Source organism: Homo sapiens, chromosome 1, assembly GCF_000001405.40.
Source record: "Homo sapiens chromosome 1, GRCh38.p14 Primary Assembly".
NCBI classification, from domain to species: domain Eukaryota; kingdom Metazoa; phylum Chordata; class Mammalia; order Primates; family Hominidae; genus Homo; species Homo sapiens.
The window spans coordinates 153256215-153270741 of NC_000001.11; the positions used below are offsets into that span (position 1 = coordinate 153256215).

Sequence of the window (14527 nt, forward strand, 5' to 3'; positions counted from 1 at the left end):
AAAAATCTGAACTGCCAAGTCTTACAAAACCCCAAATACCTATGTGTCATTCTACAATTCTACAAAGTCCCATTATTTCCTCACTGATATGATAAAAGGTGATAATCAGTTGCTGCCCACACAGATATCCCATTAGGACTACTGCTTCTGCTCCAGAAAGATGAAATGAGAAACCAGGTTCATATATTCGTATATCAGGCAAGGTTAACTCAGGGCTGAAAGCCACAAGATCTGGTACTCAGTATCATGTCACATCAACCTCTTCTGCATGTTAACGAAATATTTATACTAGTTACAAGTTATATATATATATATATATCTCTACAGATATATCTCTATATATATGTAACTCTATATATATATAACTTGTAACTAGTACACATATTTAGTTAACATGCAGAAGAGGCTGATGTGACATAGTTATATATACATATATGACTATATATAGTCATATATGTATATAAAACTATATATAGTCATATATGTATATAAAACTATATATAGTCATATATGTATATAAAACTATAGTCACATATGTATATAAAACTATATACAGTTATGTATGTATGTAAAACTATATACAGTTATGTATGTATGTAAAACTATATACAGTTATGTATGTATGTAAAACTATATACAGTTATGTATGTATGTAAAACTATATACAGTTATGTATGTATGTAAAACTATATACAGTTATGTATGTATGTAAAACTATATACAGTTATGTATGTATGTAAAACTATATACAGTTATGTATGTATGTAAAACTATATATAGTTAAATATGTATATCCTTTCTTATTAAATGCTATATAGGGTGGCAGAGGCAGGCATGGGGCACCATCCCCACCCGCGACTCTACCAAAAAGACCCATGCATAGCTTTGGAAAGCCTTCTGGCTCTTTGATGCTTAACATGGTGCCCAGTACATTTGTTTTGGCTGGATTAACAAATAAAGAATTAGCATCTTAAAATTAATAGAAAAAAAAACCCTATATTTCTTAGAAGAAAATGAACCCCCCAAAGCCAACATGGACAATTTGAAGATTAGTCATTTTGGGTCAACTGTACTTTAGGTTCCCGTTTTGTTTATTTTTTGAGACAGGGTCTCACTCTGTCACCCAGGCTGGAGGGCAATGGTGCAATCTTGGCGCACTGCAGCCTTGACCTCCCAGGCAGAAGCGATCCTCCCATCACAGCCTCCTGAGTAGCTGGGACTACGGGCACATGCCACCATGCCCAATTAATTTTGTTTATTTTTTTGTAGAGATGAGGTCTCACTATGTTACCCAGGCTGGTCTCAAACTCTTGGGCCCAAGCGATTCTCCCACCTCAGCCTCCAGAGTAGATGGCACTACAGGCGCATGGCACCACACCTCGTTAATTTTTGTATTTTTTGTAGAGACAGGGTCTTGCCATGTTGTGCAGGCTGGTCTCAAACTCCTGGGCTCAAGCAATCCTCTCACCTTGGCCTCCCAAAGTGCTAGAATTACAGGCATGAGCCACTGTGCCCGGCCTAGTTCCCAAATTTTAGAATTCCATGGAGAAGTAATATCTCCCTCAGAAAAAAGTGGTAATCATTACACCATAGCCAAATTTTCATTTTGACATGGCAGGACATAAAAGAAACAACTACAGCCTCATGTCACCACATCTTTTAAAGGAAGAGGTAGGAAGGCCATGATTTCAGAATTGAAGACTTTCTTTCCCAAGAATACCCTGCTGACGTCCTTTTACTTACACTTTTGCTAAGGACTGGTGAACACATAGCAATGGGCCAACAAGGGACCACACATATCAGTACTGGGAACCGTCGTCCACACGTGCTCCTCTTTCCAATGTGGCCCAGCTAAATAAAACTGTTCTTTCTTATACCCACAGCAATCACTAATCGCGGCCTGTTTCCCTCCAAATTCTCCACACTGCCTCAACTTCAAGCAGAGAAACTTGCCTTCTCCAACAGATCCTGTCTTCTCCCTACTGGGTCTCCTCTAAGGAGGAGAGCACCTGAGTTCCTCTTGGGTTCACCTGGGTTTATGCTGTCCAAACTGAAACTAGTGCCACAAGTTTCTGATGGCCACAGTCTAATCAGGATCATCTGGATCATTAAAAGTGCACTATAATTAAGAATTTATTATTGGAGCTGTCATTTCAAAACATAACTGGGCAGAACAAAGTTTGACTGTGGTATCTTAAACAATACCAATTGACTTCCGGTTATGAAAGAAGCAGCATCCTGTTCTGCATGCGCAGAGGTGATGCTACTGGTCCAGAGTCAACAAGAAAGTTTTGAGTTATTCTCCTAGGAGAAGAATTGGACTTGCCCAATCCCTCCATGGACTCCTTTCTGGCCTTGGTATCCAAGGGAAGGCCAGGTTGGAAGTAAGGATGTGCTGTTATATGAGAAAACAACAAAAAAGACAGCATCACCTTCTACACTTAACATAACTATTCTCCCTTCACATGCCTGTGAAATAGGTACTACTATTTTTATTTGATAGACAAGGTAACTGAGGGTCAAAAAGCTTGATCATTCCACAGTCAATAAGTACTTACTGAGTGCCTCCCATGTGCAGGTACTGCACTAAGAGCTATGACTCTGCCCAAGGTGACACAGCTGGCAAGTAGCAAAGGGAGCACCCAATCTGTCACCTAATCTCAAGTCTATCCCATTCAATGACTGCCCCTCAGGCTAAGGTCAGTGTTTTGCCACACAACACCACAGGACAACAGAGCCAAAGAGCCTTTGTGGGATCACATGGTCCATCTCTTTAGTTTGCTCTGCTGCAAGGAAAGTCAGTATTGATTACCCTTCTCAGACTGTCTCAAATGCCTGCTGTCTCTGGGGATGAATCAAAGTAGCTTCCCACGTCACATTAGTTACAGCACTGTCTATGGTGTGCAGTCCAGAGCTGGGTGCTGGGGACTCATGCCTCCAGTGGGCAGGACAGAAACACCCCAGCAAAACACACATGAAATCCTGGGAGATAAACTTTTGCAAAGGAGTAACGGGTTCTAAAGTTTTGAGGATTTTTAGAGTAGCAGGACCAGAAGTCAAACAGTAGGATTTAGAAGGTCCTACTCCTTGGATAAAGCACTGAGATCTTCAGTTTGACTCTCTTAGGGCACCTCAAGACTCTGGGACCTATTCCTCAAGCACAGCCCTGTGGTCACCTGGTATGCATCCTGTGCCAGAGGTTTTGGAAACAATGTCTGCCATCCACTCTGACTGGGTGACCCCACTGATGAGCCTGCCACACTGTTGCATCAGAGAAGGGGCCAGTCACACACCAGGCTGCCCATCTCAAGAATGCCAAAACCTTCATGAATGGGCCATCCTGTGCCTGCAATCACAGGGAGGTGGGGCCGACAGCCACGGGTCACGTAACTGAGGCCAAACACAAGAAGCTGGCCTGGATCAATGAGTCAGGGAGAGCTCTATATATAACCTCAGGAGATCAGTGCTCCTCACATTGCCAGCATCTTCTCTCCTCACTCACCCTTCCTGGTGCTTTGGGTAAGTGTGGTTCTACTGACTCTCTCATTTTCCCAGCTGGTCTTGCCCAGGCCTGACTAGATTAGATGGACCAGGGCCTCTTTCCCCTTTGGGAGCTATAGGACCTCTGCCTTCCCAAAAGCACTCACATTTAGAGGGCGGTCAGGAAAGGAGCAGGGGATGAGCTGCTGCCATGCAGATGGTGTTTCTGGTCTTCTGGCCAGAATGTAAACTCCACAAAGACAAGACTATCTCCTGCCTCTCTGGCACCCGCATAGGGGCAGGCATGGTGCCGGGCACAGAAGGACTCTGCAGAGGCTGTCCAAGGCAGCCTGTGCACAGGCTGAGCAGACCTTGTGAACCTGTCAGGAGGAGAGGCTGAGCCACTCTCAAGAGAGTAGGGAGAATGATCCAAAAAAGTTGCAGATGGGAGGGATTTCAGGTGCCACAGAAATCCAATTGCTGTTTTACAGAGTTAGAAGTTCTGAGAGGGAAATACAACTTCCTACTAGTCAAAGTCCCTTCTACCAAACTTGGACTTGAGAAAATCATGGAAGAGATGGCTAATAGCTTCTGGTCGGGGATGTTGGTCCAAAGGACCACCAGGGTCCTTCCCCTGTTTCCAGGCAGGGCCACAGCAGAGCCTGTCTTTTCTAGTGACTAGCCCTTGGTTCATGGCCTAGCTCAGTGGGACAGACCAAGAGTTTGAACTAAGAGCTTCTGCAGAGGATGGAGTGCAACAGCCCTCAATAGAATGAAGTCCGACAAACCTCTCTCTGTTGTGCTGGGAATGGGTAAAATCTCCTATCCTAGGTAGAGGTTTGTGGTAGTTTTCTATTTGCACTCAGAGAATCAGTGTTGAGATTGGAAGAGGCCTGAAAGATGAAGTGTTCAAACCCTTTCATTTAACAGGAAATGAGAAAGAGGCGGGCGTGTGGGTGATCTGCCCTCAAATCACACAACAGTGGTCAGAGGCAGAGCTGGGAGAAAGAATGGGCACTGCTAACTGGGCTGTTTAAAGCATAATGAAGGCTTTCTGCAGGGGAATGAGGAACTCAACTTTTCCAAAAGCAGCAATCATAAGAAACCCCGCTGAGGGCTCTCCGGGCACCTGAAGGAGCCCTGGGAGGATGGCGATGTTGCCTATGGATGCAGCTGCCTCCGTAAGTATCCTCTTGCAGCTGGTCCAGCGATGCTCTCTTCTCCCCTTCCAGGCTCTCCTTCCTTCTCAGACAAGATGTCTTATCAGAAAAAGCAGCCCACCCCTCAGCCCCCAGTGGACTGCGTGAAGACCTCTGGCGGCGGTGGCGGTGGCGGCGGCAGCGGCGGTGGTGGCTGCGGCTTCTTCGGCGGCGGCGGCTCAGGGGGCGGTAGCAGCGGTTCTGGCTGCGGCTACTCCGGCGGCGGTGGCTACTCTGGCGGCGGCTGCGGCGGGGGCTCCTCCGGCGGCGGGGGCGGGGGCGGCATTGGAGGCTGCGGAGGGGGCTCCGGTGGGAGCGTCAAGTACTCCGGAGGCGGCGGCTCCTCCGGCGGGGGCTCTGGCTGTTTCTCCAGCGGTGGGGGCGGCTCCGGCTGCTTCTCCTCCGGTGGCGGCGGCTCCTCCGGGGGCGGCTCCGGCTGCTTCTCCAGCGGTGGGGGCGGCTCCTCCGGGGGCGGCTCCGGCTGCTTCTCCTCCGGCGGCGGCGGCTTCTCGGGCCAGGCGGTCCAGTGCCAGAGCTACGGAGGCGTCTCTAGCGGCGGCTCCTCCGGGGGCGGCTCCGGCTGCTTCTCCAGCGGCGGGGGCGGCGGCTCTGTCTGCGGCTACTCTGGCGGCGGCTCTGGCTGCGGCGGAGGCTCCTCTGGCGGCAGCGGCTCCGGCTACGTCTCCTCGCAGCAGGTCACTCAGACCTCGTGCGCGCCCCAGCCGAGTTACGGAGGGGGGTCGTCCGGCGGCGGCGGCAGCGGCGGAAGCGGCTGCTTCTCCAGCGGCGGGGGCGGCGGGAGCTCCGGCTGCGGCGGCGGCTCCTCCGGGATTGGCAGCGGCTGCATCATCAGTGGCGGGGGCTCCGTCTGCGGAGGTGGTTCCTCTGGAGGCGGCGGCGGCGGCTCCTCCGTGGGTGGCTCCGGGAGTGGCAAGGGCGTCCCGATCTGCCACCAGACCCAGCAGAAGCAGGCGCCTACCTGGCCGTCCAAATAGATCCCCCAGGGTACCACGGAGGCGAAGGAGTTGGAGGTGTTTTCCAGGGGCACCGATGGGCTTAGAGCTCTCATGATGCTACCCGAGGTTTGCAAATCCTTCATGTCTTAACCTACCTGGAAGAAGCCATTGAGCTCTCCGGCTGCATCTAGTTCTGCTGTTTAGCCTCTTTGGTTTCTGTACAACTACCTCCCAACCCCAGTGCCTCAGTCAATAAATTTGCAAATTCATGAGAATTTTTAGGTCTCCAAGAGTATTTGTAGTGTTCAAGTTCATCCATTCCATTCCATTCTTCTCCTTTCCTGCATTCGCTCATTCACACTTACATTCATTTTACAAATGCACGGACTCTATTGGCGGAAAGGTGAGTGGATAGATGGGAGTCACCAGGAGAGGGAGGAATGGCTGGCAAACGAAGGTCAAACATATGAACATTCTAGTGTACGGCTTAAAATCATGACGTGATCCCAAAACACAAAGATCCTGAGGAGAGACTTCAGTAAACACCTCCCTGTGGATTGAGTAGCTACTGTGGGTCTCCTTACTGAACTCTGTTTTTTAAAGACAGGCTGCCCTGGAAAGACGCTGTCTCTCACAGTCCAAAGCCAATTCTGCAAGGTCTGAAAGCTGGGTGGCTGCACATTAGGAGCACCAGCTCATGCTACTCAGACTCACGGAGAAATAAAAAGCATATCAGATGTTTACGGGCCCCTAGGGTGAGCAAGACCACTTTAGTAGGTACCCGTAGGGAGAGGAGGTAGTAGGGGAGCTGTTTCCTGCTCTCTCACTCTCTCTCTCGTTTTTTTTTTTTTAATTTCAATCAGCTTTCTCGGGTTGAATGTTTCCTGCTCTCTTGAAGGAACTTTACCTAACTTAGGAAGATGCAGCATACATATACGAGATGTAAAAGCTTGGCACCAGAAAGAGGTCATGGAAAACACAAGAGCTTCCAATTAACAAGGAAGAAGCGACAGTTGCTCCAAGGGATGTATTAATTGCAGAGCCCTCAAAAGAGATGTAGAACATCAGCCTGGCCAGGGACTTTCCAGGTTCTGTTTCATATCCTGATTTTACCAGCTCTAGTTAAATGCCAATTTACTGATTTACTCAAGAAAAACTCCTGCTACGTCAAAAAGCCAAAGTACCCTTCCTACTCAATCACTGCTGGGGGGAAAAAAAGTCTTCCTCCTCAACTCTTCCATTTAGGATCACTACCATGCATCATTTTACATCGGTAATTCATGGAGATCAGAATAAATAGCAGTCTTAAAGATCCAGGAGCCCAACCACTGCATTACTTTCATGTTTTTTAACAAATGAAAGTCAGACTTTCAGTTCTGGACAAAATGAAGTAGATGTATTTCTTACTATCGCTCTTATGAAGTAGAACTAAAATCTCTGGGCATAATATATAAAACAAACATAAGAAGACTTTGTAAGCTGGGTGGCTGCACGTTAACAGCACCAGCTTATGCCGTAAACATCTGATATGCTTATTATTTCTCCGGTGAGTCTGGAGAGGACAAGGCAGAGTAGCTAGAGTCCTCAGAACTAAAGGACTGACAGTGGTAAGTTTCCTGGGTTTTCTTTTTGCCTCCTGTGTTTCCCACATTGGGCACTAGAAAATCTGCAACCAAGATTCTGGCAGGTGCAGACAAAAAAATTGCACCAAGAAAGTTCTCTTGCTTTAAATAAAAGACCAGGAAGGGGGTAGTCTAGTAAAACGGAAACCTTTCTGACAATATTTGCCCTACTTCAACCAAACACCATGGGGAAAAAAATGAACAAGAATCCTGGACTTCCACCATAGTAAGGAGACCACATGGGCTTACTCAGAAGGTGCTACACTCTCCATAACCCCACTAGTGTGGTTTTAGCAGAAGTCTGCTATAATAGAAAATTTAAACAAGATCTGAAGTCTCTTAACATAATGCCCAACGTGTCCAGCACACAATAAAAATCACTCATCATACCAAGAACCAGAAAAAAATCTCAACTTGAATGATAAAAGAACCATTCAACAGATAACCCAACAATGAAATGACACAGATTTTGAGATTATGTTAGGGATTTTTTTGTTGTTGTTTTGAGACAGTCTCACTCTGTCTCCCAGACTGGAGTGCAGTGGCCCAATCTCAGCTCACTGCAACCTCCGCCTCCAGGGTTCAAGCAATTCTTATGCCTCAGCCTCCTGAGTAGCTGGGACTACAGGCGTGTGCCACCACACCCGGCTAATTTTTGTTGTTTCTTTGTTTGTTTGTTTGTTTGTTTGTTTGTTTGTTTTCAGTAGAGACAGAGTTTCGCCATATTGGCCAGGCTTCTCTTGAATTCCTGGCCTGAAGTGATCTGCCCGCCTTGGCCTCCCAAAGTGCTGGGATTACAGACGTAATCGCCGCCACGCCTGGCCTTATCTGTTAGGGATTTTAAAGACGACATTATAAAAATGCTTCAATAAGAAATTACAAACACACTTGAAACAATGAGAAAATAGAAAACCTTGGCAAATAAACAGAAGATATAAAAAGAGCCAAGTGGAAATTTTAGAACTAAAAATATAATAACCCATTATATAGTTAAATTTTAGAACTGGAAAATAAAAAACTCACTAGATAGGCACAATAGCAGAATGGAGATGACAGAGTAAAGAATCAATATCCTTCCACCTTCCACTATTTTACCCCTCCAGAGAATACAGCAACAGGCACTGTCTTAGAAGCAGAGAGCAGCCCTCCACAAATAATTAAACTTGGTGCCTTGATCTTGGCCTCAAAACTATGAGAAATAAATTCCCAGCCTCAAAAACTATGAGAAACAAGTTCCTTCTCAAAAATAGATCAATAGAAATTATTCCATCTCAACAACAGAGAAAATAGACTGAGGAAAAAAAAAAAACAGAGCCTCAATAAACTGTGGGACAACAAAAGTGTTAGCATTCGTGTCATCAGAGTCCCAGAAGGAGAGGAGAAAGGGTGTGATCCTGAAAAATTGTAGAAATAATGGCTCAGAATTACCCAAATTTGGTGAAAGTAATTAACCTACAAATTCAAGAAGATGAGTGAAACTCAAACAGGATAATCCCAAAGAAATCCACAATAAGAAATACCATAATCAAACATCTGAAAGCTAAAGACAAAGAAAAAATCTTGAAGAAGAAAATTTTGAAAGCAAATCTTGAAAGTAGAGAAAACTGACATATCATCTATAGGGGAACTATTATTTGAATGACAGCAGATTTCTTGTCAGAAACCAAGAAGGCCAGGAAAAAGTGTCACCACATCTTTCAAGTGCTAAAGAAGAAGAATTCTGTCAACCTAGAATTCCGTATCCAGTGAAAATGTCCTTCAGAGATGAAGGTAAAACAAAGATAGTTTCATATGAAAGAAAAATACGAAAACGTGATGCCAGCATACCCATCCTAAAAATGTGGCTAATGGAAGTTTTTCAAACAAAAAAGAAATGATAGAAACCAACGTGGAACATCAGGAATAAAGGAAGAACAGTGTGAAGTCTAAAACTATAGGACAGTATCTTTTTCCTCCTGAGTTTTTTAAAATTATGTTTGATAGTTGAAGCAATAACCATAACATTGATATGGCTATTAACATATGTATAGAAAATGTTTAAGACAGTTATATCAGAAATCAAGAAGTAAAGGGACTTAAATGGAAGTAAGGTCTGCAAATTCACTTAATAAAATGTCCGTACCAATAGATGATGATAAATTATGCATATACAATGCAATACCCACAGCAGCCACTAAAAAATCTGTATACATACAAACAGATCCACTCAAAAACACTATAGATAAATCAGAATAAAATTTTTCTAATGAGTGTACATTTTTATTATAGTATAGCATACATATATACAAGGGCACAAATTATAAGTGACAGCTCAGTTAACTTTTACCAAGTGAACTCATCCCAATAACTGAACCTCAGAAGCTTTCTTTATTCCCTTCCCAGTCATTAGCTCCCTTGAAGATACCATTAGATTAATTATGCTAGGTTTTGAAGGTTATATAAATATAACCTTACATGTGTCATTTTTAGAATTTATTTTTAATTAAAAGATAAAAATTATATATATTTTTGTGTAAAACGTGTTTTAAAATGTATACATTGTGGAATGGCTAAATGGAACTAATTAACATATGAATTACCTCACGCACTTATAATTTTTTATGGTGAGAACACCTAAAATCTACTCTCTCAGCAATTTTCAAGAATACAATTCATTGTCTTTAACCATAATCACTACATTGTAAAATAGGTTTCTTGAACTTATTCTGCCTATCTAACTGAAATTTTGTGTCCTTTGACCAGCATCTCCCCAGTGCTTCCCTTCCCCACCTCCAGCTCCTGGTAACCACCATTCTACTCTCTTTTCCTATGAGTTCAACTTTTTTAGATTCCATATCCAAGTGAGATCATGTGGTATTTGTCTTTCCATACCTGGCTTATTTCCCTTAACATAATATCCTCCAGCTGCATTTGTGTTGTCCCAAATAACAGGATTTTCTTCTTTTTAAGGTATTTTCTTTACTCATTCATCTCTTCATATACACTAGGTTGCTCACATATATTGGCTATTCTGAATAGTGCTTCAGTGAACATTAAGAGTGCAGATACCTCCTCAACATACTGATTTATTTTCTTTGGATATATACCCAGTAATAGGATACCTGGACCATATGGTACTTGTATTTCTAACTTTTTGAGGAATGTCTATAGTGTTTTCCATATGCTATGCTGTGTTAATGTATACTCTCATCAACAATGTGCAGGGATTCCCTTTTTTCCACATCCTCTCCAACACTTGTTGTGTCTCATCATTTTTTGATAACTGTTCTAATAGGTGTGAGGTTGCTATGGTTTGAATATGTCCCCTCCAAAATTCTGGTGTTGAAACTTAATGGCAAATGTGATAGTACTAAGTGGTAGGGACTCTAAGAAGTGATTAGGCCATGAGGGCTCCTCCCTGGAATGGGATTAAGGCACTTATAAAAAGGCTTTCCACAGCATTCTCCACACTTACCCTTCCACCTTCCACCATTTTACCTCTCCAGAGAATACAGCAACAGAAACTATCTTAGAAGCAGGGAGCAGCCCTCACCAAATAATCAAACCTGTTGGTGCTTTGATCTTGGCCTCAAAACTACGATAAATAAATTCCCAGCCTCAAAAACTATGAGAAATAAATTTGTGTTCTTGATAAATTAGTCAGTTTCAGGTATTTTGTTATAACAGCACAAATGAACTAAGACAGAGCTGATGTGTCATTGTTACTTAAATTTGCATTTCTCTGATGATTAATGATTTTGAACATTTTTGTATACCCGTTGATCATTTGTATGTCTTCTTTTGAGAAATTTATATTCAAATCCTTTGCCCATTTTTTAATTGGGTTTTTTTAATTACTATTGGGTTGTTTGAATTCCTTATACATTTTGGATATTAACCACTTACCAGATGTATGGTTTGAAAATATTTTCTCCATTCTTTAGGTTGTCTCTTCACTCTGTTGATTGTTGCCTTGGCTCTACAGAAGCTTTTTTGTTTGATATAAGCCCATTTGTCTATTTTGCTTTTGTTGTCTGTGCTTTGGGGTTCAACATCCAAAAAATCATTGCCTAGACCAGTGTCATGAAGCTTTTCTTCTGTTTTCTTCCAGTAGTTTTACAGTTTCATGCCTTACATTTAAGTCTTTCATCAATTTTGAGTTGATTTTTGCATATGATGTAAGATAGGGGTCTAATTTCCTTCTTCCACATGTGGATATCCAGCTGTGCCAACAATTATAGAAGAGACTGTCCTTTCCCCATTGCACGTTCTCAGCATATTTGTCAAAAACTGATTGACTGTAAATGTGTGGATTTATTCTCTTTCCTTAATCTATGTGTTTTTTCAATTTTGATGCCTTTTATTTCTTTCTCTTGTATAATTGCACTGGCCAAGACATCTAGTACTATGTTGAATAGAAGTGGCAAAAGTGAGCATCCTTGTCAGAGGCAAAGCTGGTAACTTTTCGCCATTGAGTGTAATGTTAGCTGTGGGTTTGTCATCAATAACCTTTATTGTGCTGAGGTACATTCCTTCTATATCTGATCTTCTGAGAGTTTTTATCAGAAAATATGTTGAATTTCATCAAATGTTTTTTCTACATCTATTGGGAGTGATTCATATGGTTTTTGTCCTTCATTCTGTTCATGTGGTGCATCACATTTATAGATTTGCATTTTTAAACCACCCTTTCATTCACAAAACAAGTCCCACTTCATCATAGTGAATGATCCTTTCAATGTGCTTTTTTTTTTTTTTTTTTTTTTTGAGATGGAATCTCACTCCGTTGCCCAGGCTGGAGTGCAGTGGTGTGATCTTGACTCACTGCAACCTCCACCTCCCTGGTTCAAGCAATTCCCCTGCCTCAGCCTCCCTAGTAGCTGGGATTACAGGTGCACGCCACCACACCCTGCAATTTTTTTTTTTTTTTTTTTTTTTTTTTTTTTTTTTTTGTATTTTTAATAGAGACAGGGTTTCACCATGTTGGCCAGACTGGTCATGAATTCCTGACCTCAGGCAATCCACCCGCCTCGGCCTCCCAAAGTGCTGGGATTACAGGCGTGAGCCACCACACTCGGCCCTTTTTAACTCAGTGTACTAATAACTTTGTTGAAGATTTTTACATCTGTGTTCATCAGGGACATTGGGTTCTAATTTTCTTTTCTTGTAGTGTTCTATCTGACTTTGATTTCAGGGTAATTCTAGCCTCATAAAATGAGTTTGAAAGTATTCCCTTGTCTTTCATTTTTGGAAGAGCTTGGAAAGGATTGATATTAGTTCTTTAAATGTTTGGTAGAATTGAGCAGTGAAGCCATTGGATCCTGGGATTTTCTTTGATGGAAGACTTTTTATAACTAATTTAATCTCCCTACTAGTTATTGATCTGTTCAGATTTTATATTTCTTTGGGATTCAGTTCGATAGCTTGAATATTTCTAGGAATTTGTTCATTTCTTCCAGGCTATCCAATTTATTGGTATGTAATAATTATTCATAGTAGTCTCTTACGATCCTTTGTATTTCTCTTGTATCAGTTGTAATGTCTCCTCTTTCATTTCTGATTCTATTTATTTGAGTATTCTCTTTTTTTCCTAAGTAGTCCAGCTAAAGGTTTGTTGATTTTATCTTTTCAAAAAACCAACTCAAGGTTTGTTGATCTTTTCCACTGTTTCTTTTTCCTCTACTGCATTTATTTCTGCTATTATCTTTATTATTTCCATTCTTCTGCTAACTTTGGACTTATTTTATTCTTGTTTTCCTAGTTCCCTGAGATGTTATTTTAAGTTGTTTATTCAGGACCTTTATTCCTTTTTGATGTAGGCATTTATTGCTGTAAACTTCACTCAGAGATACTTGTGCTGTTCCCTTTATGTCTGGGTATGTTGTGTGTCTATTTTTGCTTGTCTCAAGATATTTTGTAATTTCCCTTTTAAGTTTTTCATTGACGCATTGATTGTTCAGCAGGGTATTGTATAATTTCCACGTATTTGTAAATTTTCCAAAATTCTTCTTGTTATTGATTCCTTGTTTCATACCATTAAGGTCAGAAAAGATGCTTGATATGATTTTAATCTTCTTATTTGTTAAGACTTGTCTTGTTGTCTAACATATGATCTATCCTGTAGAATGTTCTGTGTGTGCTTAAGAAGAATGTGCATTCTTTACCATTTGGTGGAATGTTCTGTATATGTCTGTTAGGTTCGTTCAGTCTAGAATGTAGTTTAAGTACAATGTTTTCTTATTGATTGTCTGTGTAGATTATCTGTCCATTACTAGAAGTGGGATATTGAAGTCACCTGCTGTTATTGTATTATAATCTATCTTTCCTTTCAGGTGTATTAATATTTGCCTTATATATTTAGGTGCTCCAATGTTGGTTGCATAAACATTTACAATTGTTATATTCTCTTGATTCATTGACTCCTTTGTCATTCTACAATGACCTCCTTTGCCTTGCTTTACAGTTTTTTACTTAGAGCCTATTTTATCTGATGTAAATATAACTACTCCTGCCATCTTTTGTGTTTCATTTGCATAGAATATTTTTTGTTATCCCTTCACTTTCAGTCTATGTGTGTTCTTACAGGTGAAATGAGTCTCTTATAGGCAGCAATAGATGGATCTTGATTTTTTAATCCATTCGGTCACTACATGTTTTTTGATTGAGAATTTAATCCATTTACATTCAAGGAAGTATTGATAGGTAAAGACGACTGTCATTTTTTTAATTGTTTTCTGGTTTTATTGTAGATCCTTTGTTCTTTTCTTCCTCTCTTACTGTCTTCCTTTGTAATTAAGTGATTTTCTCTAGAGGTTTGCATTGATTTATTACTTTTATCTTTTGTTTATCTACTATAGGTTTTTGTTTTGTGGGTTACCTTGAGGTTACAAAAACATCTTATAGTTATAACTGGTTATTTTAAACAGATAACAACTATGTTCACATAAAAATAACTTTATGCTTTTACTTCACCCCTCCCCCATAAATTTAATATTTTTCATTTTAAATTTTTGATGTCACGATTTACATCTTTTTGTACTGTATATCCCTTAACAAATTATTGTAGCTATTATTATTTTTAATAGCTTAGTCTTTTAACTTTCATACTAAAGATATAAGGAATTTACACATCACCATTACAGCATTAAAGCATTTTAAATTTGACTATATAATACTTTTACCCTGTGAGTTTTATATTTTCTATGTTTTTGTGTTGCTAACCAGTGCCCTTTTCTTTCATCTTAAAGAATTCCCTTTAGCATTTCTTGTAATATAGGTCTGGTGGTGATGA

General features: G+C 41.3%; 1 protein-coding gene across 1 annotated transcript, besides 1 other annotated feature; it reads left to right on the forward strand.

The window, feature by feature from the left end:
• On the forward strand, positions 3473-5910 carry LORICRIN (loricrin cornified envelope precursor protein). The gene is made up of 2 exons (NM_000427.3): positions 3473-3519; positions 4713-5910. The coding sequence occupies exon 2, from the start codon at positions 4736-4738 to the stop codon at positions 5672-5674; it is 939 nt and encodes a 312-aa protein (NP_000418.2). The 5' UTR covers positions 3473-3519; positions 4713-4735; the 3' UTR covers positions 5675-5910.
• Positions 5307-5356: a silencer, noted in NCBI's record as "silent region_1338". NCBI's record gives its function as "represses an Ori minimal core promoter by ATAC-STARR-seq in GM12878 lymphoblastoid cells {active_cell/tissue: GM12878}" and the evidence as "EXISTENCE:reporter gene assay evidence [ECO:0000049][PMID:35858748]".

Coding starts and splice junctions, on each gene's coding strand:
- LORICRIN (NM_000427.3), top strand. CDS start 4,736: ATGTCTTATCAGAAAAAGCAGCCCACCCCTCAGCCCCCAGTGGACTGC.